The sequence below is a fragment of the Homo sapiens genome, chromosome 6 (genome assembly GCF_000001405.40).
Source record: "Homo sapiens chromosome 6, GRCh38.p14 Primary Assembly".
NCBI classification, from domain to species: Eukaryota; Metazoa; Chordata; class Mammalia; order Primates; family Hominidae; genus Homo; species Homo sapiens.
The window spans coordinates 143,422,832-143,450,773 of NC_000006.12; the positions used below are offsets into that span (position 1 = coordinate 143,422,832).

General features: G+C 38.5%; 1 protein-coding gene and 2 pseudogenes across 8 annotated transcripts, besides 5 other annotated features; 2 read left to right on the forward strand and 1 right to left on the reverse strand.

Annotated features, from left to right (window-relative positions):
* ADAT2 (adenosine deaminase tRNA specific 2) lies at positions 1 to 27,864 on the reverse strand. 8 transcript variants are annotated; one of them, XM_011535439.3, is made up of 9 exons: positions 27,732 to 27,864; positions 24,004 to 24,067; positions 22,097 to 22,138; positions 18,607 to 18,617; positions 15,759 to 15,863; positions 11,000 to 11,150; positions 9,674 to 9,780; positions 5,781 to 5,853; positions 1 to 5,675 (listed from the first exon to the last, which is right to left on the reverse strand). In XM_011535439.3, the coding sequence occupies exons 1-9, from the start codon at positions 27,825 to 27,827 to the stop codon at positions 5,632 to 5,634; spliced, it is 693 nt and encodes a 230-aa protein (XP_011533741.1). In that variant the 5' UTR covers positions 27,828 to 27,864; the 3' UTR covers positions 1 to 5,631. The 8 variants fall into 8 exon arrangements, with proteins under 8 accessions (XP_011533741.1, XP_016865749.1, XP_047274145.1 ...); XM_017010260.3 differs by lacking the exon at positions 27,732 to 27,864 and adding an exon at positions 18,222 to 18,309 and having other exon boundaries at positions 18,607 to 22,138; positions 24,004 to 24,060; XM_047418189.1 differs by lacking the exons at positions 18,607 to 18,617; positions 24,004 to 24,067.
* Positions 4,638 to 4,707: an enhancer, noted in NCBI's record as "active region_25198". NCBI's record gives its function as "activates an Ori minimal core promoter by ATAC-STARR-seq in GM12878 lymphoblastoid cells {active_cell/tissue: GM12878}" and the evidence as "EXISTENCE:reporter gene assay evidence [ECO:0000049][PMID:35858748]".
* Positions 13,385 to 13,879, forward strand: TUBB8P2 (tubulin beta 8 class VIII pseudogene 2; annotated as a pseudogene).
* Positions 26,870 to 27,852: an enhancer, noted in NCBI's record as "H3K27ac hESC enhancer chr6:143770838-143771820 (GRCh37/hg19 assembly coordinates)". NCBI's record gives its function as "activates a minimal SCP1, AML or CMV promoter by ChIP-STARR-seq in primed H9 embryonic stem cells {active_cell/tissue: H9 hESC(primed)}" and the evidence as "EXISTENCE:reporter gene assay evidence [ECO:0000049][PMID:30033119]".
* Positions 26,895 to 26,974: a silencer, noted in NCBI's record as "silent region_17625". NCBI's record gives its function as "represses an Ori minimal core promoter by ATAC-STARR-seq in GM12878 lymphoblastoid cells {active_cell/tissue: GM12878}" and the evidence as "EXISTENCE:reporter gene assay evidence [ECO:0000049][PMID:35858748]".
* On the forward strand, positions 26,978 to 27,080 carry RNA5SP221 (RNA, 5S ribosomal pseudogene 221; annotated as a pseudogene).
* Positions 27,035 to 27,114: a silencer, noted in NCBI's record as "silent region_17626". NCBI's record gives its function as "represses an Ori minimal core promoter by ATAC-STARR-seq in GM12878 lymphoblastoid cells {active_cell/tissue: GM12878}" and the evidence as "EXISTENCE:reporter gene assay evidence [ECO:0000049][PMID:35858748]".
* Positions 27,655 to 27,814: an enhancer, noted in NCBI's record as "active region_25199". NCBI's record gives its function as "activates an Ori minimal core promoter by ATAC-STARR-seq in GM12878 lymphoblastoid cells {active_cell/tissue: GM12878}" and the evidence as "EXISTENCE:reporter gene assay evidence [ECO:0000049][PMID:35858748]".

Sequence of the window (27,942 nt, forward strand, 5' to 3'; positions counted from 1 at the left end):
TGATCATAAATAAAATGTATTATTTATTCTAAACCCAAATAAAATGATACATTATCTTTTCTCCTTGCCACTCTCTTAAAATGTATACAAGGAAATAAAACATTCTAAGCCAGAAAACATATTTTGGTATCTTAGATTTTTCCTTTACATTTATAGACCAACTTTTCAAAAGGAAAAAACAAAACCATGGTACTGAAGCAATTCACCATGAGCTGTACAATGAGCCACATCATTCGGTTCCAATCACAGAATTTGAACAAGCAGCTTCCAATCTCAGCCTTTTACCTACTCTAGACCAGGGGCAGCTAACATTTTCTCGAAGGGCCAGACGCTAAATATTTTAGGCCTTTGTGAGTCGCATGGTTTGTCACCACTGCTCAACTCTGCCATTGTAGCACACGAGCAGCCACAGACAACACAGAAACAAATGGGCATGGCTGTCATCCAATGTAACTTTATTTATGGACACTGAAATTTGATTGCCATATAAGGTTCATGGGTCACTAAATATTATCCTTCTTTTGATTTTTTTTCAATCACTCAGAATTGTAAGACCCATTTTTAAGTCATGAGTGGTACCGAAACCGGCAGCGGGCTGGATATGGCCCATGGGCCATACTTTGTGGACTCCTGCTCTAGATTCTCAAGTTCATGCTTCAACATGTTAAAGAAAAATTTATTTTGACACTTGTTAAGGTAAGGAAGACTTAATTCAGGACTACAGTGATAGGTTTTAAAACTATCGCAGGTTTTAAAACTATCCCAACAAGAGGAAGAGATCAGGCTCAGCTCTGAATACAACCAGAACATGTGGGGGTTTATAACTAATGGGCAGAGTGAGGGGGTCAGTGATTAGGAAATTACTAAGAGGAGATATCAAGAGTAGAGTTCTTGCAAAATGAACTTAACAGGCTTCTCGTTGAAGGGAGGCCAAGGACTTACACATCAAAAGTAGGGGATGAGAAATTTCATAGATATTGGGGATGTGGGATTCTCTCTAAACTAGCTTAGCAGGATTCTTGCTAAAGCTGGGCTGTATAGGCCCATCAAGAATGGGGGCCAAGGTGGAGGCCTGGTTAAAAAGAGGACTTAGGGCCTGACTGAAGTTTGGTCAAGGAGAGAGCCTTTGTCAAACTACACCATGAAGCCTCCTTAATAGTCATGGATATGTGGTGTTCAACCCAATATCCACTTAGAAATCAGGTGATAAATAGTCACGAGCCTGTTTTCATTAGCTCAACTTGAAGAAAATGTAAGATCCTAAAGATGTCAAACTTTCAGCAGAACTCACCAGTCTAATCCATAAAAATCACGTCGCCCATCGCTCCTTTCCTCACTACACAAAATTAGCAATTTACAAAGGAAATAGTTGGCAGTTGTCTTCATAGATGAAGTCAATGTAGTCTTATTCCTTTGCCAAAAGGCAGAGAAACCAATTCCTGGTGTCTGGTTTCCCTGGGGCTATAAGGCCAGTTCACGTAGGACCACTGGGAAAGACAAGCTTTGGCATCACCACAGATTTTTAACAAGGCGCTATACTACTTTTAAAAAAGATTTAAGTAATTTTTTCAAGAGCTTTGGCTTTTGCTATTTTTACTGACATTTTGAAAGTAGCAGTGCTTACAACATTTTAAGTCTAGATGTCTCTATGGAAACCCAAGATAACTCATATTTTATGACCAAATGACAACCTACCTAGAGTGTTTATCCCATTGGATCACCATAGGTCATCTGCAGTATCAGAAACATCTTAGGTCTATTTTCCAAAACCCTATCTTATCAGGCATAATGAAATTTATATAATTATTACTTTTGCTGAGGAGGAAATTAGGAAGGAAAGAATTTATTTCTCAGGCTTAATTTTGATGCTTATTAAGATATCACTATTTAAAACATTCTTATTAGAAAAATTTTTTTTATCAATTTTGGCAGACAGTAAAAGAGGAAGAATGCAATCAAATAATTTAATAGTTGCTTTGAAATTTATGTCATTAATTTTCCTCCTCTCCTTTCCATCAGTGTCAAATACATTTTCTGTTTAAAATGTAACAGCTCCTCTTCCCACAGACTGCTTATTCATTGCAACAGAGAAAAAAGGTAACTATATAGTGAAGGAATAGGACAACACCTTGACCAGATGACCAAAATTGACATCACCTTGGTGTGACGGCCTTTGTGTGCCTCCAGATGTGATATCCTGTGAGGAACTTAACATCAACCAGCACCTGAATCTAATCACAAGAAAATATCAAATAAATTTAAAACAAGGACCATTCTATTATTTAAAAAAAGAAGAAGAAAACAGAAAGGAGGCAAAATGACTGTATTATTTAAAAATGTCAATGTCATAAAAGACAAAGAAAGCCAGTGAAAATGTTCTAGACTAAAAGAAGCTAAAGGCAGACCGGTGCAGTGGCTCACGTCTATAATCCCAGTGCTTTGGGAGGCCAAGGAAGGAGGATTGCTTCAGCCTAGGAGTTCAAGACCAGCCTGGGCAACATAGTGAGACCTTGTCTCTACAAAAAAAAAAAAAAAAAAAAATTAGGTGTGGTGACATGAGTCTGTGGTCCCAGCTACTCAGGAGGCTGAGGAGGAAGGATTGCTTGAGCCAGGTTGAGGCTGCAGTGAGCTGTGATCATGCCACTGGACGACAGAGTGAGACCTATCTCAAAAAAAAAAAAAAAAAAGAAAAAGCTGGATTCAAGACAAGTAAATGTAATGCTGGACCCTAGACTGGACCTGGGATTATAGGGTAGTGGGAGAACTTCTTTACAGGACATTATTGGGTCAGCTGACAAAACTGTAATACAAATGATAGATTCAAGTATATCAATGTTAAATTTACTTAAGTCAATAACTATACTGAAGCATTTCGGGGTAAAGGGCCATGGTGTGTTGTGTTTGTGTGTGTGTGTGTGTGTGTGTGTGTGTGTGTGTGTGTGTGTGTATTTTATATATATATACTTTTCCCAGTAAAAAGTTTAAAGAAAAATTAAGAGTTCTTGCCTACACTGAAGCTCTTGGCCATCTATTTTCTCTCCATGATACTCCAAATACAACACAGGAAGAGATGGTTGTGCCAAGTAACAAGAAAGCACAAAGATATTTTAACATGATCTTTTATCAGTGATTGAAGCCTACCAAAGCATTACATACCACCCATTCTCCACAGTTTGTTGCAAAGACCAGCAAACACTGGATAACTCTAGCAGCTTCTAAATGTAATCATTTCCCCCTAATTTCTCTCAACAGGGCAGTGATTCTAAAACCTTTTTGTATCTCACCACTTTCAGAACTATTTTGTACACAAAACAAGTCTTTCAGCTGGTGTCTTGGACAGGCACTATCAGTATCAATCAATGGAATTCAAGCTGTTGAACTAGGACATCTTAATATTTTAACCCGTGTCTAAGTAGCTGGGGAATGTGGTACTCAGGAAGCTGAATGACCTCAACATATATCCATAATTCCTCACTGTCACTTGGAAATTGCTAGCAGAATTCCATAGAGCTAATGTCTATGACACCCTCAGTGGTCCTGCCCTCCAATCTGCAGTATGCCATATTAATGATTTTCTCCCAAAGCGATGGAGGGAACTGTGCCCCAGTCCAAACATTTAGGACAGATTTTCGATAGGTTAATTACTGAAGAGGGAACCAAAAAGATGGTAAACCACAATTAAATTGTTCAGCTATGCTTCAGAATCAGGAAACACTACTTATCCATCATTCTCCAAAACAGCAAAGACGGAACATATGTATATTGTTAAGTCTTTTCTATCCTTCCCTGTCTATCACTTTATTATTTCCTTCATTCTTTTAGTAGCGACAGTCTCTGGGCTAGAATGCTCATATACTATTTTCGGCTTTGGCTTTTTGTCCTAGATAGTCTTCTTATTCACTTTTCCCCAAATTTCAATCAGTAATTTCATTTAGCAAATGTTTACCAAGAACCTACTGGACATAAGATGCTCAGCCAGACTTACTGGGTGGTACTCTAGAGAGGCAAAACTCCAGGTTGGTTGTCCTACAAATAATCCCCAAGAAAATGATATGAACACAATAAATGCAATGAAATCTGCTTGCAGGAAAGCATAAGAAGCCAGAAATGAATTACGACCAACTGCAAAAAGGAACAAACTAGTAGAAGCACTAAAATTCAATGAGAAGATAATTTTTAAAGTGGATGAAATTGAAGGTGCATGTAACATTATCACAGATTTAAAATCATGCATATTCTCCATAAAACTTTTCAAATGCAGTTAAACACACACACACACACACACACACACACACACACACACAAAACCAAGCAATTATAAGTCCTCTGAAGCATGTAACTGTGATTAGCTGCTACTCTCAGCAATATAAAAATACTTTCACCACAATTACATTCCAGCCTGTAATGTAATTCAAAACAAACAAGTCAGAGACATCGCTCAAATGACAGAACCAACAAATACAGATGCTTTGCATCAAGGAAATGAATCTACTGAAGAAATGCAACTGAGGAGCAGCAGCCCCTCCAGGGCCTGGAGCTGAGCTTCTGGTGGAACGGCGAGGCCCCCTTCTGGGCAGAGGCACACAGTGCGCCCAGAGGGCTGTGCAAAGCTGCCCTGTAGTCATGGAGGTGAACTGGGGACTTCCTGCTGTGGATACCCTTTCCAGTGTTGTGTTCAAAATTTTACATTTTAGATTTTAAATTTATTATATGGATTATAAAAGAAATAACCATTTGTTTCAGATTAAATTGATCATTCTATTTTTCAGTCAGCATTCTCACCACCAAATGGCACCTATCCCCTTTACCCTGTGTTCCTTTTGCTTTTTGCCATAACTCTTATTGTCCTCCAATAAACTGTGTAATCTATCATATCCATCTCCCCTTGCTAGAATATAAGCTCCATGAGGGTGGGATAATTTGGTTTTTTGCTCAATAACAATTGTCCCATTTATGTCTTTATCTTTTAAGACTATTCATCTTCAAATAAGACATAAATAAGGTTTTATTATAGCAATATGCTATAATTTTTAAGTGACAACTCAAGCACTTGTTTTAAAAGTATGCATTTTTTCTAAATGCTTTATAAAAGCAAAGTCTTTTCTAAGGACCATATAATTATGGTCTCTATATACACAACTTATATACAATTTAGAGAGAAGTCACAGCCCCCAGTGCCCTGGAAGAACATCGTAGCTGCAAAAAATGAAGAATCTGATTCTGAAATGCCAGTCCTGGAGAAGGTGTTCTCAGGGTGGCAAACTGCAGTCCAAACACACTCCAGGTCCCTGGGTCTGGCCACACATTCTCTAAGAAGTCAGCACTTGCCTGGACTGGGCACTTGTGGCTAGAAGGGTATGCACTACTTGCTAATTTCTAAAACCTCAAACCTTAATTTTCCCCCATCTTAAAATGGGAATCAGCTTCTGGAAAAGCTAATAACTGTTTACAATTGTCAGACTTCTAAAAAGTGCTAATTTGTTCCCTTAACAGAGCAAATGATGAGAGACACCATTTTCCTGCAGATTAAAAACAATATATAAACATATGATTCAACGATGTCAACAGCTTTCAGTCTATGAATCTTGTCCAGGTCACTTTGGGTCACTTGGTTCTTTCATCAGAACATGTTCAAGATTTCTGACATTCCTTTTTCCGAACTTTCGATTTTGGTGCTGTGAAAAGAATAGAAAAGAAAAAGAAAATGAAGAGGTAAGCTCATAGCAGATTCTCTTTGTATGGATTTAAGGGAAGGACATTATCCACAACAGAAAACTGACCATTTGGATTTTCTTGTTTGTAGAAGGTCTTTAACATTTCCACTGCTTCCTCAGCCCGATATCCAGGGATACACTGATGGAATGAGAAAGTTGAGAATAAACATAGGCCTATGAAAATGTGTGCTGTATCCCATAAAAACAACATATATATACATGATTATGTAAACAGATTTCAGATGTTAATAAACTTTGGGGATATTAGTAACATGGGTAAGGAGGTACACTTCCAAAAGATGTTTGATATATCATCTTTTTCATTACTCCCAATCAACTGTTATTAGGCATCACTCCCAATCAACTGTTATTCATCCATTAACTATTATAGAAGTTACCAGCTTTGTGATCTTGGGTTAGGCACTTAAACTCTCCATGCCTTATTTATACAATGCTGGCAATAATAGCACTTACTTCAGGGGATTTTGTGAGGATTAAGTGAGATAATACCTGTTAAATACCAGGCACATCATAAGTGCTCATTAAGCATTAGTTATTTTTATCTGCTCCTATTTACTAGTGGTCCATTAAGCATTCCATGCTATAGAGCTAGGGTTGGCAAATTATACTTGGTGGACCAAATCTGTTCCATAGCTGAGAACTGTGAGCTAAGAATGGTTTTTATATCTTAAAAGCTTTGTTAAAGAAAAAAAAAGACTAGGTGACAGAGATGTAAGCGGCTCACAAAGGGTGAAATATTTACTAGTTAACCCTTTGCAGAAAAAGTTTATCAACCCTTGCTACAGAGGATTTTAAAAAATAAAATACAGCTTGTTCTATCTTTAGCATCTAACTGGGGAAAAGAAATCATAACATGTGAAAGAATAAATAAGAAATTGTGCTAACAGTAAGGAGTGTTATATGAAATATTACCTGAAGAACATGAAACTTGAACTTGCCTTAGAGATAGAGAATATTTAAAGAGGCTAAGCAGAGCATTTCAGGGAAAGGGCAAGAAGAAGCCTGGGTTGTGTGTGAGGAAATCAGCTGACAGAGGAGGAGACTATTAAGGAAGCATAAGGAAAGAAAGACAAAAAATTGGGGTAAAAATATGTACGGCTTTGAAAGCTTGTCAGAAGAGTTTGGACTTAAAACCAAGCACCCTTCTGAAGTGCATGAAGTGACACAATGAGCATCTGGAAGGAAGGAGCCAGAAAGCATAGGCACAGAGGACAGGAGGACCAGCTACTGTGAGATGCTGTTCAGAACGAACCTCCCATTCTCCTGTGTCTTCAGTCTGCCCTTGCCTGGGCCTCCGACACCTGCATAAACCTTCGCCATAACAAATAACCTTCCATCCACCCTGTCCCGTCAAAGGCTGACACCCTGCTCCTGCCTTCACTCCTCAGTGGCCTCATCTTCACTGGCTTGAGTTCCCAGCACTTCACTGAGTCTGCCCTCTCAGAAATCCCCAGGTCCCTACTGACCAAAACACTTGCCTCCTTTCAGATTCCTCAACTCTGCAGTCCTGGAGGCAACTGGCCACACCTGCTCTGTCTGACCGCTCTTGCCTCCCTTGGCTTCTCAGCATTTTACCATCCTAACCACTGCCAGCCAGTCCCGTCACAGCTGCCCCCTGCTTCCTGCTGTGTTAAGTGCTGGAGCTCCCCAGAGGTCCCCCTCCACTCCACTCGCACACTCAGAGCCCTCTCCTCTTACGTGGGATGAGAGCAGTGGTTCTCAACCATTGCTGCTCAGGAGAACCAGTTGGAACTCTCTGGAAACACAGCACTGTTGGCCCCCTGCCTTCTGATTCAGATGGTCTGGGGCAGGGACTGAGCAGAGTCAGGCACAGAAGCCTCCAGGTGATTCTAACGGGCAGTCCGGGATGAGAACTGCTGAGTTACAGGCCTCGAAGGAAACTGCACCGCCCTAACACACCAATATAATATATTATTTACATTTTCAAGTATCCATTATAGCAACAAATTTGTGGTGTTAATAAAAAGCAAACATTCATAATAATTTTTTTTTTTGAGACAGTCTCACTCTGTCGCCCAGGCTGGAGTGCAGTGGCGCAATCTCGGCTCACTCACTGCGAGCTCTGCCTCCCGGGTTCAGGCCATTCTCCTGCCTCGGCCTCCCAAGTAGCTGGGATCACAGGCGCCCGCCACCATGCCCGGCTAATTTTTTGTATTTTTAGTAGAGACGGGGTTTCACCATGTTAGCCAGGATGGTCTCGATCTCCTGACCTCATGATCTGCCCGCCTTGGCCTCCCAAAGTGCTGGGATTACAGGCATGAGCCACTGCACCCAGCCATAAAACAAAAATTTTAAAAAACAGAGCAGGTGTTATAATTAATCACCATCTTCTTTGAAAAGAATAGTTCTGTAGGCCTCTAGAAATTTTAATGCTGCTTATAATACAGCATGAAAAGAATCTGCAATTCTGCAGTAAGAAACAGTATCCCACCTCCCAATCACCTGCTGCCTCCTAAGCCCAGACGAATTAAAAAAAAAGAATACCCAGCATTCAGAGCCTGGGCCACCACTGTTCTCCTTAGAATCTAAAAGCACCTTTAAAAAAACCATAATTTGGCATTCAGCCTGGAGATATGGCTGCAAGCCACAGGCATTGATTTGCAGCTGAGCCGATGTGGCTAGGTATATACACTGCAAATGAACTTGTTTTGGTTCTGCTGCATCGACTACAAAGATGTGTGAGAAAGGACTGTGTTTGTGCCCTCATGTCACTGACATGTTGGAGAGAAATATTCCACCCATGTATGACATCAAAAGACTCATCTTTGTTCTGCCCAGAAACTGAAAAATTATTTAGATCATTCTCATAAAGGAAATATGGAGTCAGCAATTCATTTGCAAAGAGTTATGTAAGCAAAATTTGAGCTACTAACAGAAGTGATTGGAAAAATCAAATCACTTTCTAAATGTCTTTAATGATCAAACCAATTGTATCCTTTACTCTCCATCATTGCATTACAATTTCTTTTCTGATGTAATGTTAAACAGCATTTATTCTCAAATGCACAGAAGTTGATAGGAAAGCTAATGTTGAGCTAGAAAACTCAAGAACGTTTTAAAAACTCGTTCTCAGTGAGACTCAGCCAAATTTAGTCCTTCATAGGTCCTTAAAGTATTCTAGGAACCCCTGAGGTTTTTGAAGTGAACTGCCCAGCCATATCCAGCATCTGTTAAAGCTTTTTCTTTTTAAAGCACAATACTTTTACATTAACCTTACATCTTGGAGAGAAAAACAATCAAACCAATTAATGAAAGTAGGGGTATAGTCACAGGCCAAACTCTGAAATACAAATTCCTTTTGTTCATAGTCTGACCCATAAAAACTTTGGGAGAAGTGGCAAGATTAAACGGAAAGGAGAATTTCTAGGAGACTAAAGACATGGATTCTTAAGTCTGGGGGAAATTTCAACATTAAAAAGACACACAAAAAAAGACATGAAAATACAGTGATTGCTAGATACTAAAATAAGGATGTGGCAATCAAGCAAAATGATTAAATTTGTACAAAAATATTGTGTGTGCTGTAAATAGTCTCTAGCGTCACTGACACAGGCCAAGCATCACCAAACTTGGTAGAGCATAGAGCTGGTAACGTTCATTGAATAAAAACTCCAACAGCGAGAGTGTCTTCAGGCATACCTAACGGTGTTGGTGAAGAGTGTTCGGAGTCAGCTGCGAAGGGTGGACTCTCCTTCAGGAGGGAGTCTGTTAATGAAGAGAGGTAGGCACTCATCTAGAAACTCTTCCCTGTCATCTTATACTGAGGCATAAATGAACTCCACCAGAGGCCCTGAGATCAAAGATGTCTGATTCTATCATCGTTTCTTCGTATACTGGCCACACACTAGTTATTCACAAGCCCATAAAGAGATGAAAATAATTAGCAAGAAAGAAAAAGCATAAGCAGTTTGTATTACCTGAAATGGTCTCCCAGTGTTTGGTAGGTCAGCAGAGGCAATATTTAGAACAGAGCCACAACCACCAAATCGTTCATTCTGACAGCCATATACAACCAGCGGGATTTATAAGACAGAATTAAGGTCCTGCATAGAATGTACATTTCAAGTATGTATCGTGACAAAATCAGAGTAGGTTTATACCAGCCATCCTGGAGAGGAACGCTCATGCTACTCTTCAAACCAGTGAAGCTTAGGATTCGTCTTATAAACCATACAATCCAGCTACACAGAAGAAAAGGGGTTAAAGTATTGAGAAATTGACATTTAACAACTGCAAACAGAATGAAAACTGAGTATGTGTTTGCTTAAAGTTCACAGTTCAGGGCTCTCTCTGCTCTTTCCTAAATCACTTTTTCAGAATCATTAGGGAGTCAGAACCAGAAAGGATGCAGAAATTTAATCCAGGGATTTTCACCTTTTAGAAATAAAAGATTCTTCCCTGTTCTTGCCCCAAATAAAATATAACCTGTGCCCTAATACAAAATAGACTAAAGCTTAGCCACTCTGTAAGGCAGGATGAGGAGAGAATTCTAAGTTGCCTATAACAACCCTTTTATAGAGACTGTACATTTTATCATACCCAAAAACCTCTGTATTATTTTTAAAGTGTTAAAATTATCCATCCGTACATAGTAAAATAAGTACATAAAAAATAAGGAACTAAAAAGCTGAGTTTTTCAATTTTCAAATAATTTTTTAAAAAGATCTTTAGAAGTCCCTACAGAGTCTCTGCACTATTTAAGTTGCTTAATCCATGCAAGACAATCCAAAGAGCTGTAACTTTACTCATTTTCCATTTACAATCAGAATATCATAAAGGATTTCTTACTTCTTATTTACTTTTTACTGATAATGTTTGATACATTAGTATTCATGGCAAACAAACCAACCAGATAAACAGAGAAAAAAAAATTTAAACCACTCATAATCCATTATCCAAAGGCAAAACTTAGCTGCATATTCTTTAGGACTTTTCCTTTGCAAACTGTTTTATAATCCACTTCAACTTAATTTATGATTTACCTTTATATAACTGTTTAAGACAGTTCTAATATTTTCTTTCTCTAGATTATTTGTTTAATCATTCCATGTTTATTGATATGAAAAGAAATAGGTCATTTTACTATTTAAAAAGCTTTTCTTTTTTTTGGCTAAGACACACTATATTTTACAAGGTGTTTCCTAAGTCTGTGTTTTCATATTTTGGAAAACAGGCTACGTGTTTGGCCACTCTCTTGTTCACACGAATGGTACGATACATTAACTCATGAAGTCAAAGGATACTCATCAGGCGGAGAGCAGCTGCACACATAATGCACGGCTCCACAGTGACATACAACACAGTGTGTTCAAATACTTCAGAGGGACTCTTGCCACTTTGACGACACCAATCGAGGACCTGATCGATGGCCACCATTTCTGCATGTCGAGTAGCCTGAAAAGAGAAAGGGGCTTGCACTGATGCTGTTTGCTTCATGTGACTACTATTTTACAAATATACAAAAACTAAGTACAAAATATGCGCCTATCCTTTCTGCCAATATTTTAATGAATACAGTTTCAAGACACCCTTAGCAGTGGACAACGTATTCCCCAATTCAAGTACCATAACCTCACTTGCGAAAGATATCTAATCAGAGATGCCACAGGAATCATGCTGTATTTTTAGTTAAGTACCTAAGTACCTTAGGGAAAACTCTTTCAATTAAAATGCCATGGAGAAGGTAAGTCTAAAAAACAAAGAAAAAAAGATAAAGTCTATGGTTTCTGAATATTTCAGGGGAAGCAAAATTTTCATAAGCTTGTGCTCTAGTTTCAAATATATTTTCAAGGCTGTCACTGACCTCACTCCAAGCAAATCTACATTAAGTTCACTGGAATGTCATCTCTTACACTTTTGGGGAATGAGGTTTTATATACTGGAAGACTCTAGAGAAGTAGAGATTTGGTATTGGTTTCAGACACTTCATGGGAAGCAGTAGAGGATAGGAGAAATCACATAGCATGTGGAAGTGACTCCATTTAAATTTGAATTTTGACAGTGACATTACCAATTATGTGGACTTACGCAAGTAACTTAACTTCTGTAAGTCTAGGATTCCCCATATGTAAAATGGTATACACTGGTATCTACACTTATAAACCTTATAAATCTGAATTACATGAAGCATGGTGCCACATAATACTACACATGTACTCTGCTAGCTCTTGTCTCCTTTTCTTTCTCCCTTACTAAAATAGCTTAAAGTGAATCATAGATTCTATATGGAATAATTATTTATAATATTCATGACAATAGTATTTATCAATAATTTACACTGAGTATTAACCATGCACAAGCCACTGGGCTAAATAAATTCTGTGTAGGATAAAAAGTCTCTGTCCTCAACAAGCATAAAATCTGGTAGGGCTCATTTACCTGTGAGATAGGGCAGGGTATGAAAAGTGCTAGCACAGTGGCCCAAGATGCCATGGAAGCTAGAGGCAGATGGGAGCAGAGCTGGCCAAGGGGCTACATGGGTGAATCACAGAACTAATTACCAGAGATGGAAGGTACTTTACAGAAGAGGTTCCCAAACCTGGCTGCACACCAAAACTAAGTGGAGAGTTTAAAAAAAAAAAAAAAAAAAAGGTTTCCCCAACTTAGGTGCTTTCAAAAAATCAGATTTAGAATTATGGAATCAAATCTCCCTACAGCTCTCAATAAACAATTGCTGAACTCAATCATCTCAGTCAACTCTCTTACTACTAAAGAAAAAGAAGCTAAGCAAAGCTGGCATGTGTTAATCACATACAGCTGGGAGAGGAGGTGGTGGTGGCGACTGGGTAGTGGTGGTGGTATCAGATCCAAAAGTAGAACTCAGGTCTTCTCATTTGGGGTCAAGAGTCTTTCTATGCTGTAGTTATAGAGTAATCTTCTTTATGACACGGAATAACAAAATAAACCCAGGTTAATTTCAGCATATAGAAGAAACCCCGGTCACTGGATGGGGTTAGATGGGTATTGTTAGGACAGTCAAAGTTCTCATCTTAAGACATCATACACAAAATGCAAATTGGAAAATTTGACCACGATTTAAAATACAGAATTCTACTCCTAAATAAGTATCTATACATTCATTAATTGCTGTATTATGTTTATTACTTATCTCATGTTTTAATATCCTCTTAATAACTGCTTTGTGATTCAACATGAATGTAATTAAAACATTTTTAAAAATTCTTCAAAACATCTTTTTCAAAAAGAATTTTTGTATGTTTTACAGTATTTTAAATTGATATTTAAAATTATGTCATTTTTCAACAAACATCAGCTAATTGTTTGCAGAGGTATGTGTACATGCTTCTGTTTTTTTCTAACTGAAAAGGTAACGGCTAATTTAAAAATGTTAATTCTATATGGGAATGACTACCCTGGCAGTTATAATACTTCTCAGTGTTATAATGGTAATTATTTTAACATTGTTTGAAATTATTGCACATGTGAGTTAAAATTAAAAGACTGTATATATTTGTATATTGTTACATGATTTATATGAAAGAAAACTGTCTGGAAGAATATGGCAAAATTTTAATAGTTCTGCATAGAGAAATGAGATAGAACTGCTTCTACTTTCTGTATTTGAAATTTTAAAAAGGTATTTCAAAATGAGCATTTAAACAACAAAGAAGGCCCTGACAGTGGCTGAACTCCCCCAGCAGATGTCTGATGCTAAGAACATGATGGCTGCCTATGACCCCCAGTATGGCCTCTATCTAACAGAGGCTGCCATTTTCAGGGGCTGGATGTCCATGAGGGAGGTAGAGGAGAAAATGCTTCATGTCCAAACCAAGAACAGCAGCTACTTTGCTGACTGGATCCCCTACAATGGGAAAACAGCTTTCTGGGACATCCCATCCGCAGGACTAAAAACGTCCACCACTTTCATCAGTAACAACACGGCCATCCAGGAGCTGCTCAGAGACGTCTCAGAGCAGTTCACAGCCATGTTCAGGTGCAAGGCCTTCCTGCACTGGTACATGGGCGAGGGCAAGAATGAGATGGAATTCACTGGGGCCGAGAGCAACATGAATGACCTGGTATCAGAGTACCAACAGTATCAGGATGCCACTGTTGAGGAGGAGGGAGAGTCTGAGGAGTGGACTGAGGAAATGGGGGCGTAGAGCCTTCTGTTACTGGGTTAAGGGCGGGGGTGGTATGAATTCTTCATTTGCCCACAATGTGTTCTGTGATAGTCATGTCTGTGTGGGCACTTGCTGTTCTTGCTGTGTGTTCACCTCTATTAAAGCATTTCCATAGTAAAAAAAATAAATAAATAAATAAAAATTAAAAGTATGACTTACATATATTCATGCTTCTCACTTATTACAGGGTAAATTTAAAACTGATTCATTAAAAAGTTGTCTTTTTCAAGAATTCAAAGGACAAAGAATTTTGTGAAATACTATATTTTTATTTAAGTGTCTTTTTTCTTTCTAATTCTACACTTCGATCTACTATTTTTCATAAGCAAATTGATAAAAAAGTTTTTTTGGGGGGCTGACATATTAACTACAGATTTTCTATGCAGTGAACATGGTTATATATAAATCTGAATTGTCCAACTACTTTGTCGGAACAGTTCCTATTGATTGGAACTGCTAGGGCGAAGTATATGCAAAATCTACATTTTGAGTAAATTTCCTATAATCAATGTAAGCTTTCCCAGTGTTTGAACGTTTCCCATTCCCTAAAACTGTTCAAACATTAGATATCAGTATTTTTAATCACTGATAATCTAATGTTACAAAGAAATTGCTTTTTTCTTCTGTTAAAGTTAAGTTAGATCATCTTCATGTAGCCTTATTGGTTGTTATTTCATTTTCCTCTGTTCCTTTTATTTTCACTTCCCTTGTAATATTAGTCTCTCTGTTACTGATTTCTAAGAACTCATTTCTGATTAAGGATGTGAACATTTTGTCAAGCATTGCAAATGAAATACCATGTTTATTCCAGTTTATTTTACTGTGGTGTTTTATTTTTTTGGTTGTACAGAAGTTACGTATTAAAATATAATCCTGTTCTATTTTATGGCTAAAAATAAATAAGTAAATAAATGATTTGTGAATCTGGATTCCTATTTTACATGTGTTTTGCTAAATATCAGTTTTCTTTTCAATAGATGTGATTGATAGATGAACTAGTTCCCACAGCCCTGGTATCAACACCAGCTTATTCTCTGGCTCCCAAAATCATATGACAAGATAAAAGTCTGTGTGAATGGCATTACAGGTATAAGTGATCTTTGAGTCCACCTAGGAATTTTTGTAATCATAAAATTTGGTAGTTTACTTATACTTCCCAAGTATACTTATCATGACACACTATTGTGATACCATGTTTAAGAAGCATTGCCTTGAACCATGAACTTCCCAACCTAACCACAATAAAAGTCATACAAGCTATTAAAATGTACATGCTACATGTAGCTACAGAGGCAGCTGGTGTTGAAGACCCTATTTTGTTGAATTATCTGATAAAGGAATAGCTTCCTTTATATAATCCTCATACCTCCCTCCAAAGCTATACATTGAGGATACTTTTTTAACTTACTAGGATGAAAATATTATTTAAAGGTACTAAAAAAGGAATGTATTATGAGTTAAATTGACCTATTTTATAAAATGAAAATTTCATATATTAGATTGGCTTAAAGTAGAGACAGACTTGTTTCTTCCATGCTGACATTCTGATGAAATAAAATCCCCTCTTGGGTTTCACTCAAGCATTAGAGTAAAACTCTATGAAACAGAAAATTATTCACTAAGATTTTATGGCTTCATTAAATTGTTCTGAATTTTCCACAATAAAAAAAATCAACATGTATCACTTTCAAAATCAGGAAGAAAATGATACTGAAAAAGAGAGACGTTAAGAAAAGCTACCCACCACTGGCAGCTACGGGACTATATTCAGTCTCACCTTCACACCAACTGTGGTAAATTCTCTCCAGTCCACCCATCACTACTGTATGTTTGCAATTATACTGCTCAACTCACATACATTTTTGGTTTGGTTAACTTCATTTCTCCCCTTCCCTACAACTTCATTGTTGTAGACCATAAGACAGCCAACAGGAACTTCAGTATTTTCGAGGGCTTCTTTGGCCTGAAACACAAAGTGGAAAATGTAAGACGTAATACTCCATACTTGAAGAGAGTATAGGAGAGAAAGAGATGCAGCATGAACAAGATACACATGTACAAAGACTGAAACAAAGAAGTGCAGCCTTCCCTTTTCTGGAATATAGTTCCATTACGGTATTTAGTGCCCGTGTTCTGTGTTGTGTCCATGTTAAGGGAGACTCAAAAAAAATCCCCTTGATAGGTCCAGAGCCCCTGATGTCTTCTCATTGGAAATAGACGTGATCAAAGGAGACTGTGACTGACCACTGTTCTTGAAGTGCCAGGGTCTATGTGTCTTTTCAGAGATAGAATACATATTTGCAAAAAGGTAGGGGACTAAATAACACTTATAGATCCTTTATTACAATCCTTTCCTCACTGAAATTCCTTTGCTTCTCTAAAAATTATAGAAATTATCCTCTAGAGTCCCAATAGCTAAAGGTAACCAGACTGGATGTCACCCTGTCCCACAATTTCTACTCTATGTGAGACAATAAGAGTTTAGAAGTACTCTATGTAAAATGGCACAATCATTATGAAAAACGTTTTGGAAATTTCTTTAAAAAGTAAACACACACACAGTCTATAACAAAATTCCACTCCTAAGTATTTAAAAGAAGGGAATATGTGTCTACAAAAAAAAAAAAAAAAAGAAGAAGAAAGAAAGTTTGAAAAAGAACCAAAACCTTGAAAAAGAATGTTAATAGCCAAAACCTGAAACTGCACAGGTGGCCATCAACAAGAAAATGGATAAACAAACTGTGTCCTATTCATATAATGGAATACTAGTCGGCAATAAAAAGGAACTACTGATACTGTGACAACATGGATGAGCCTCATAGACATGCTAAGTAAAGGAAGTCACACACAAAAGCACACATACTATATGATTCCTTTTGCACAAAGTACCAGAATAGATAAAACTAAACTACAATGACAGAAACTGGAACAGTGGTTGCTTCATGGAGGAGGATGTGCAGATTGATTGGGGAGGTACACAAAAAAATTTTCTGAGGTGGTGAAAACTTTCTGGATCTTGATAAAGACATGGATTACAGAGATGTTTGCATTATTCAAAACAGATTGAAGGATACATTTACAACCTGTGCATCTCACTGTATATAAAGTATACCTCAACTGAAAAAAATCAATGAGAAAAACAAGTTTAGGAACACTTCCATGACTACCATCCCAGGAATGGCAAACCAATTATTATATTCTCAAAGTTCCCTTTATCACAGGCCATTCGTTTTTCTTCTTGTCCCATGATAGCAGCTCTGGGCCCTAGGAAAATTAACTCTACCTTCAGGCGGAGAGCTTAAGCAGGCAGGTTATGCCTCAGTATAACCTGATACTGCCTCTGAGAGTCAGAATAAGGGAAGAGTACAACCCTTGGACTAGTGTACATTCATTCCCATCTCAATGCAGTCAAAAGAATATAACTGCTGTACAGCTGTTTCCAGAAAGGCAAGGTATTCCTTACTGTGGCAGCCCTGAAGAGACTTTGGAAGACTTGATTCTCACTTAAGTGCAGGTACTTACACACATCATAGGGCATATAAAGTGCAAAGTTGAAGGCATTGTTAAAACAGTGTCTTCTGTCTCCTGCACCAGTCTCTTACTCCCAGTTCTACTTTATTTAACTAGTGACAACTTCCTATTATAAGGCATACAGGATTTCCTCAGTTATTCCCACCATGTTCAACGGACACTTATTCTTCATTTGGCCATTAGAGGAAAAAGGAGACGCCCACAGCAGGAGCAAACTGGGCCTCTCTTTTCTCCATCTGGTTGGTGGGTCAGAGATGGGGCATGGAGAGATGTGAGAAGACAGTATCTGATGCAGTAAGACTGCATTCAGGACTATTTTATGAACTATCCACAGGCCGGTTGTGTCCCAGTTCTGTGACAGTGGTTAAAGCATGTCCAGTTTATGCAAGTTCAAAAGGCTTGAAGAGTCCCGAGGTTTGGTTAATATAGACAAATGCACCATAGGCTACTATAGAGAAGAAAGCCAGGAAGAAGACGGACAGTTAAGGAGAATGGAAATGCTAACTACCAGTGTAGCTATGGCAATTATTATACTAAGAATTTTATTTAAGGTAAGTGTAGAATTACACAGAGATCAAGGTACACAGAAGAGACAAATCATTTATTCATGCAAAAAATATTTGTTGAGGATCTTGAGATGGAGAGATTATCCCAAATTCAGGTGGGTCCTGAAGGCACCCACAGAAGGCAAGAGGCGAAGTGATAACGGAAGGAGAGAGAGAGAGATTTGAAAATGCTGCACTGCTGGCTTTGAAGATGGAGGGATGGGTCATAAATGTCACTTCAGTACCTGGAAAAGGCAGGCTTCCAGAAGTTATTCGGCCCTGCCAAAACTTTGATTGGGGCTCACTAAAATTTCAGACTTCTGGCCTCCAGAACTATAAGAGAATAAACTTGTGTTGTTTTTAGCCACCATGTTTGTGATAATTTGTTACAGCAGCCATAGGAAACTAATACATGCAGCAAAGAGGAAGAAAAACATGCTAAAATAGGAAAAAACTTACAAACCACATCTCTGGCAACACTCTAGTATCTAGACTATATAAAGGACTCTTAAAACTCCACAATAAAATAATAATCCCATTAGAAAAAGACTGTTTTCATCTATTTGTGCTGCGATAAAGGAATACCTGAGGCTGGGTAGTTTATAAAGAGAAGAAGTTGATTTGGCTCACAGTTCTCCAGACTGTACAAGAAGTATGGTATCAGCATCTGCTTCCAGTGAGGGCCTCAGGAAGCTTCCACTCATGGCAGAAGGCAATGGGAGCAGGCATCACATGGTAAGAGAAGAAGAAAGAAAGGAGGGGATGGTATATTCTCATGATAATAATATAGTGAGAACTTGCCACTATAAAAATGATTTATGAGGTATCCTCCCCATGATCCAAACTTCCCACCAGGCCCTGCTACTAATACCAGGGATTCAATTTCAACATGAAATTTGGAGGCGACAAATATCCAAACTATATGAGAAGGCAAAAGACAGACATTTCACCAAAGAAGATAACACACATAGCAAATAAGTACACGAAAAGATGTTTTCACATCATTAGCCGGTAGAGAAATGTCAACTAAAACCACAATGAGGTATCACTACACACCCATCAGCATGACTAAAGTGAAACGTAAAAACAACATCAAATGCTGGCAAGGCTGTGGAGAAGTGATATTACTCATATACTGCTGGTCGGAATATAAAATGGTACAGCCACACTGGAAAATAGTTTGGCAGTTTCTTAAAAAGCTAAACATGCATTTAACTTATGACCCAACAATTCCACTCTTGGGCATTTATCCCAGAGAAATGAAAACCTATGCTCACACAATGTATGTCTGTGTGCACAAATATTCATAACAGCTTTATTTGTAATAGCCAAAAACTGGAAACAACTCAAATGCCCTTCAGTGGGTGAACTGCTAAACAAACTATGGTACACCTGTACCATGGGACACAATGCAGCAATAACAAGGAATGAACTATCGATAATCTCAACAACTTGGATGGATCTCATGGGAATCATGCTGAATGGAGAAAGCCAAGCCAAATGGTTACAGATTCATGTACATAGCATTTTTGAATTATAAAATTATAGACAGAGAACAGATTAGAAGCTGCAGCTATAAAGAGGTAGCACAAGGGAGCCATGTGGTAGTGAAACAGTTCCAGTGGTGGTTATACAAAGCTAAACATGACAAAATTGCATAGGCACGCATACACACACACACACACACACACACACACACACACGTACAAATAAAACTGATGACATCTTAATAAGCTCTGCAGTTTTCCCAATGCATTTTTCCTGGTTTTGATACTGAACTATAGCTATGCAAGATGTTACCACTGAAGGACACTAGACACTTGGGTCCTCCCAGTATATTATTATTGTAATTTCTTGTGAACTTATAATTATTTCAAAATGAAAGTTAAAAAATAAGTACAGGTAAACAAAAAGGATTTTGCAATGGGAATTAAAAAGAGATGTTTAGTGAGTTTAGAGAAATATTTGGTGTTACGGACAATCCCAGAAAAACACTAGGCCAAGAAGGAAGGGTGGTCAAGTGTGTCTAATTCAGCAAGGTGGTGGCAATTTAGGTGGAATGGTGGAGATGAAAACCAGTAGCTTGAACAGTGACTTATCTAAGAGGTTAAATTTTTAACTCCAGCTATACTTTCCCCAACAAACCTCTTAAGAGAGGTAATGTTTTGTCTGCATCTCGAGTATTCTGGTTCTGAGAGCTTGAACATAAGAGCTTACAATTTATTGAAAGCTTACTTTGATCCAGGACTAATTTAAGCATTTTATAAGTATTAATTCATTTCATTTACAAGCCTATAATGATCTTCCCCATTTTACAGATGAGGAAACTGAGGCACAGGGAGATTTTTTTTTATACATGTATATATCTCTCACTAGCGCATGTGAGAGAGCTGGGACTAGGGCATAGACAACCTGGCTCCACTTATTCATTTGTTCAACAAACATTTGTGGAGCACCTACCAAGGGCCAGATTCCAGGGCTCTCTGCCACTGTTCTGCCTCTAACTTCTACTTTAGTAACAACAGACACTTCACCGATCAGCTGCTTTATCAGGGTTTGAGTTTAGAGTGAATCAAGGGACCAAATGAGAGAGAACAGTTGGCAAGAGAGTGAGACATGGAAATTTTAAGGATAAAAAAAATGGCAAGAGGAGTTCAAGGCTGTAGTGAGCTATGATCATGCCACTACACTCCAGCCTGGGTAACACAGCAAGACCCCATCTCTAAAAAAAGTAAAAAATAGGCTGAGCACAGTGGCCCATGCCTGTAATCCCAGCACTTTAGGAGGCCAAGGCAGGTGGATCATCTTAGGTCAGGAGTTTGAGACCAGCCTGGCCAATATTGTGAAACCCCATCTCTACTAAAAATACAAAAATTAGCTGGGCATGGTGATGGGTGCCTGTAATCCTAGCTACTTGGGAGGCTGAGGCATGAGAATCGCTTGAACCCAGGAGGCGGAGGTTGCAGTGAGCCCAGATTGTGCCATTGCATTCCAGCCTGGGCGACAAAGTGAAACTCTGTCTTAAAAAAAAAAAAAGTTAAAAAAAAAAACAAAAACGGCAAGAGAATAAACAAATGGAGGCCATGTGATCAGGATTTTCTGTAAAAATATCTCCTGAAGAGCTCTACATTGGCTATGTGGGCCATCTCAAACCTGCAGAAGAGAATGCAGGGCCGAGTGGAAAGGACGTGAGTGGGATGGGAGATGAGATTCCATGTTGCCTGCAAGTTCTGTCTTGTTCACCTGGAGATAGCACCCACGCCACCATGTTACTGGGTTTGTGCCTTCCATTCCTTCCTTTGGATTTTTCTCTTTTTCCGTCTAGCAAATTTATTTCATTTCACTCCTCTCAATATTATCTTCATGTTTATTTTGAGTAACACAGTTTTTTTTCCTGAAATGCCTTCCACTGCTGTCCGAAACAGAGAGCAAATATGAGCGATCGGAATATTTTAAAAGGACAAATAACGTCATTGTTGAGGAATGGCCGAGCCTGCCATGCTGAGGATGAGTGGGTAAGCAACTGGAATGGTAGGCAGGGGAGGGGGCGGTGAGAATAACACAAAGCCCCATGGAAGTGAGTTGAGGGGAACTCCTTTACAACAATTAACATGTAGATTTGCTTCACTAACAAGTTCACAATAGATTTAATTAAGCTGGAAATCAATTTCACCCCATACCCATATCATACTTTCAAACTCTCCCAACAACTCTACTGTCAAGTCTGATCACTTCTTCACAAATGCAAAAAAGCTCAGGCAAAATGGGTCTGAAATTTGTGCAGGTAGCTTTGAATTTAACCTTTCTTGCCTTTTTTAGGGGGAAAGACCAAGATCAGATACTATTTAAAAATGGCTACAAGGTTTTTCATAAAGTAACAAATGATCAACCTTCAAAATTAAAGAATAAAATCTCTGTTCTTCCCAGCCCAAACACTGGTCTCTATTTTGTCCTTGAATATAATTTCTTTTTTTTCTCTAGTCAGGGCCTGCCCAGATACAGATAATGAAAGCACCTAGATGGAAGAGACTTCGTAGTTTATTATTTTCTCCAAAGACATTACTACTATAAACTGCTTTCTAGTGATGTCATGATAAAAGGGGGAGAGATGGAAACAGACCTTGTTTGCACACAGTTTGATGAGTCCTTAAAGAAATATTTCCTATAAAGACAAAAAATTAGGGGGAACAAACAAGTTAGCCAGAACTCTCAGGTAGAACATCATCCTGTCCAAAAGGCTAAACTATATAACTGTTTCTGCTAATTACTCTCTTCTGAGTGATTACTCTCTGAGTAATTAGCAGAAACAGTTATATAGTTTAACTTTGGGGATTTAAAAAGTGATAATGTTTTTATTCCATCAACTTTAAATTCTTCAATATGGCACTGAAGGTCTCCCAACTATCACCCACCCTCCCATTGGCCAACCGAACCAACCTAACTTTTCATTATTCATTTAGGTTATTAACCTTTTCAGAGCAGAAATCCCCTTTTAGACACTGATGAAAGTTATGGACTGTCTCACTTGAAAAAGGCACACGCACATAATATTTTATATATAGTTTCAGCGTTCATAGATCCCCCTAAACCTGAGCCTGAGGTCAGGGAGCCCTGTTCTAGATAGATAGATAGATCTCCTTCTAACCCAAAACAAAGTTCTTGATTTCTTTGGACATGACAGTATCTTTGCTTGGATCAACCTTTCCTTTCCACCAGCCCACATCCTTTTGGTCCCTTAAAATTTAGAAGGAATTCTATCATTTATCTCAACGGACGTGTTGAAGGACCTTGCCAGCTGTTATCTGACAGCACTTTATATCTGTCTCTTGTGGTCTTTGGACATGTTACTTACCAACCTTTTCATCTGTGCCTGACTTAATTTCATCAATTAAACAGTATGTTCCTGGAAGGCAAGCACTAGATCCAGGCACTACGAAGCTTCTCTTGCTCACCTCTGCAGCCTATGCACCCAGCACAAGGTCTAACACATAGCAAAAACTTAATCATACCACATTTGTTGAAATGGTGTCTGTGGTGTTTGCTTTCTTTTCGAATTTCCCTCAGAGCCTAGCATAATGTTATATTAATATCAATTGCCCCAAAAATGCACACTATAAAAAAATACAATTGACTTTTTTCTAGAAAACTTGCAACATTTTTTCTATACACATATGTATAGATAGTTAGTCAATCTTTCTTTTTTCCTAATTATAAAGTAAGATGTGTTCAAGGTGGAGAACTTAGCGATTAAAAAAAAAAAACCTCATGTATCAAAAAAAAAAAACCCACTAAGAATCCCAATACCCCAAAATATAATCCCTGTTATTCTGAAGCAACGGGGGTTTTTTCTGTTTTTTCCTATGCCCTGCATACACATATTTACAGTTTTTAAAAAGTCAAATAGATTTACACTGTATATACAGTTCAGCAGTCTGCCCTTTTCATTTAGAAATGTATTGTTAACCTTTCCCTATATTGGGTAATATTTTTTCATCACATGATTTTGTAAAGGTTGTACAGTATTTCTCCTTATGAACATATCTGATTCAACCAACTAGTCTCCTATTATTTGACATTTAAGTGATTCAAATTCTTCACTATTATAAACAAGTAAAGAACTTCTCTATATAAATATTTATATTGCTTCTTTGTGATTTATTCCTAGAAACAGCTGTAAAATACAAAGAGCTCCTACAGTGCGATTTTTTAAATCAAACTATTACAAAATTGGGGAAAGTATATGCCTCGGCAATTCACAGAAGAAAAAAATCTAAATGTTCAATTAAATTACACAGTAGATACACAGTATTCAGGTAAAGAAACTGAAAAGGAAGAAAGAGAGCAGAGGATATGTTGGCAAGCAGTGAGCTACCTAACACCGAGAGGCAGGCCAGGCCAGTATTTAACAGCAGATGACAGGCCTCAAATCACAGCCCCATCCTTCCCAGCTCTCTAACTTTGGGGAAGTTACTGAACTTTCTCAGCTTCAATATCCCATCTGAAAATGAGGACCATAATAATACTCACCTGATAGGGCTTCTGTGGGGCTTATAACATGGCCCACATGAAAACACTGTGCATAGCATAGTATCTGGAACACACCAAGAGTGCAACACTATTACTTAGTCATACTTCTTTTTTCCAAGCCTATCTTTAGAATGTTATGCTGAACATGTTATGATGATTAAAATGATAACCTATGATGATGCTATGCTTAGCTCTCAGAAAGAAACCTGCCATGAAAAATAATGGTTTTATTAAAAAGCAGTAAAGTTGATAACCTTATATGCTATCCAACAGATCCTTTTGTAGTGATGGAAATGTCCTTTGATCTGTACTGTCCAATACGGTAGCCAGTGGTTATATGTGGGTGCTGACTACTTGAAATGTGGCTAATACAACTGAGGAGCTAGATTTTATTTTATTTCACCTTAATTAATTTAAACTTAAATAGACACATGTGGTTAGTGGCTACGATATTAGGCATTATGGTTTTAGAAGGCAATACAGGAATATCTATATAATTTCAAAGCACATACATCCTTTGTCCCATTTTAGGTAGTCACTCCATAGCAACAGAAATACCATGAGGTAGGGAGGAGTGACTAATATATTAAGACTACCAAAAAAAACTGCTGATAATCAAAAAGAGAACATATAATTCCATTTATGCAAAAGTACATATGGCTGTTTACATATGGACAGAGAGATATGGAAGGATGCTCCCAAAATACTAATAGTATTATCTCTAATAGTAGGACTTTTAGGTAATTTTTACATAATTTGTTAACCCTTTTTTATAGTTTGAATTTTTTATGACCATGAATTATTTACATAACCAGAAAAAGAAAACATTAAAATATTTTCACTTTGGGAAAAAAAAAAAGGGCATTACTGGATCAAAGGATAAGCTCACTTTTAAGGCCTTTTATATCTGCCTAGCCAAATTGTCCTAATAAAAGGGTGTTCTACGCTTTTACACTGTTGGTGGGACTGTAAACTAGTTCAACCATTGTGGAAGACAGTGTGGCGATTCCTCAAGGATCTAAAACTAGAAATGCCATTTGACCCAGCCATCCCATTACTGAGCATATACCCAAAGGATTATAAATCATGCTGCTATAAAGACACATGCACAAGAATGTTTATTGAGGCACTATTCACAATAGCAAAGACTTGGAACTCAACCCAAATGTCCATCAATTATAGACTGGATTAAGCAAATGTGGCTCATATACACCATGGAATACTATGCAGCCATAAAAAAGGATGAGTTCATCCTTTTCATTTGTAGGGACATGGATGAAGCTGTTAACCATCATTCTGAGCAAACTATCACAAGGACAGAAAACCAAACACCGCATGTTCTCACTCATAGATGGGAATTGAACAATGAGAACACTTGGACACAGGGTGGGGAACATCACACACCGGGGCCTGTCATGGGGTTGGGGGGAGAGGGGAGGGATAGCATTAGGAGATATACCTAATGTAAATGACGAGTTAATGGGTGCAGCACACCAACATGGCACATGTATACATATGTAACAAACCTGCACATTGTGCACATGTACCCTAGAACTTAAAGTATAATAATTTAAAAAAAGTAAATTAAACTTAAAACTTTCAACTTTGGCTTAACTAGAGTTAACTTTATCAGCATATTAAATAAAAACTGTAATATACATGTTACATACAAAAAAAAAGGGTTTTCTAAATTCAGCTCCTCCCAACCAACAAACACCTCAAACATGCACACCCTTATTATCACCAAGCATTAAAATTGCTTTCACTTTTGCCAATTTAACAGGTAAAAAATTGTGTATCATTTTAATTTGAATTTCATTAATAGTGAAATTGTGTATTCATTTATTTGCTGGCTACTCACTCGTCACTTCTTTTAGAAATATCATGTTCAGGTGAGGTGTGGTAACTCACACCTGTAATCCCAGCACTTTGGGAGGCTGAGGTGGGACAACTGCCCGGGCCCAGGAGTTCAAGACCAGCTCGGGCAACACAGAGAGACCCTGTCTAAACCAAAAAAAAATCTTCTAAAAATAAAAAGAAATTTTAAAAAGAAATATATTCATAGCCTTTGACCTTTTTCAGTATTAGGGTATACATCTTTCCTTTTACGTCGGAAAGTACTTAGATTTTATATAAATTATATGCTACGGTTATTAAACCTGTCCTTTTATATATGTCGCAAATATTTTCCTTCTTTGTATTTCCTTTACTTTGTATCTTTTTCTTTTTTGAGACAGGGTCTGGCTCTGTCTCCCAGGTTGGAGTACAGTGGCACAGACACGGCTCACTGCGACCTCAATCTCCCAAGGCTCAAGCAATCCACCTTCCTCAGCCTCCTGAGTAGTTGGGACTACAGGCACATGCCACCATGCCCTACTAATTTTTAAATTTTTATTTAGTAGTGACGGGGTCTGGCTAAGTTGCCCAGGCTGTTCTTCAACTTTTGAGATCAAGAGATCCTCTTGCTTCTGCCTTCCAAAGTTTTGGGATTACAGGCATGAGCCACTGCATCTGGCCATGCTACTTTGTATCTTTTTAAACATGTAGATGTTTTCAAAGAATTTCTAGACCTCTCTGGCTTTGACATTTTTTGTCTCTTAATTGTATTATAAACACCTAGGGATGTGATTCCATAGTTTACGTCCTCCTACACAGGATTAAGGAGGCAGCTGCTTCTTGGGTTTTAGCATATACAAGTTTCTTCAAGGTCTTAAAGGAAAAAAAGTACTTGTTAGGAGGGCTACATGTCACTGGGCAACAGGAACTTTTCAGCTTCATTATAATCCTATAGCACCACCGCTGTATATGTGGTCCTATAAGATTATAATGGAGCTGAAAAGTGCTAGCGAGCTTCTTAACTGGGATAAAAGTTTGTTTGTAAACGTATGTAAATGTATTTACATGTGCTAGCCCAGGGTCAACCTAAAAGGTAGCGAAAGTGTTTAGCCCAGAAGTCTACATAGAAACTAGGGTTGTCTACCTCCATACCACCCTGAATGTCCCCCGATCTCGGAAGCTAAGCAGGGTCAGGCCTGGTTAGTACTTGGATGGGACAATAGGGCTAAGGTGAGTAGATTTAATGCTCCAGGATAACGACCTTTACCGACAGGTCATTGTGTGGCACGTGGCTGTATGTAGTTATTAAAATGTAAATACATATATTTACAAACAAACTTTTTTTCCCAGTTAAGAAGCTCGCTAGCACACAGCATTCTGTTGAAAGCCCCCTTTATTTCGCAGTCCTGAAGGGAGTGAGGGAAGGAAGTAAAAGGGCAGAGGAAATAATGAATGAATGCGAGACGCCGATTGTACAGGGACTTGTTTCCATACTGCTCTCTACCAGAAACGTTCTCAGTTTCCTTCCTTCTGCTGGACATGTTCCAAGGGCCAAAACCTCAAATAATGTGACTTTGTAGATTGGAGAGTGTGTGACCACAGAAAGGAAAGGGAGGCAGCACGTGCCAGCCGGCGACAGAATGTTAAGTCTGCAGCATACTCCACCGCAATGAAACAAATAATTTGTGTATTTCCTCCCCTTCCTTCGCCCAGAGCCACTGTGAGAATGGGCTACAGAAAGTTTCGAGGCAGTAAAGCCAGTTGTTCACCCAGAACATCTGACTGCCATAAAAATTATGGTGACGAGAAAGAACGTTTGCTCAAATGCCGGGGTCGGGTTGAGGGCTGGAGAAAGGTCCCACCCCGCAGCATCTACCTCCCGGGCTCCTCACCATGTGCATCGCCTCCTCCATCCACTTTTCGGTCTCCTCTGCCGACACCGAGCACGCGCCGCTTGCAGCTGGCTTGGGTGCCGCCTTCGCCTCCATACCCAGCCACCACTCAGCTACAGAGCCCGCGGCAGAGGAGGAGCGCGGGCAGCGGAACGCGGCGGGCCCGGGACCCCGTTTCCGGGGGTAGTCTAATGAAAAGGCACTCGGGAGC

Excerpts from the sequence above, each read along its gene's own strand:
- ADAT2 (XM_011535439.3), bottom strand. The coding sequence starts at position 27,827 with ATGGAGGCGAAGGCGGCACCCAAGCCAGCTGCAAGCGGCGCGTGCTCG. Across the intron at positions 24,068-27,731 it reads TGGAGGAGGCGATGCACATG|ATACTATGCTATGCACAGTG; the intron begins GTGAGGAGCCCG and ends GGTGTGTTCCAG. Across the intron at positions 9,781-10,999 it reads AGCTGCTCTCCGCCTGATGA|AAATCCCGCTGGTTGTATAT; the intron begins GTATCCTTTGAC and ends ATTCTGTCTTAT.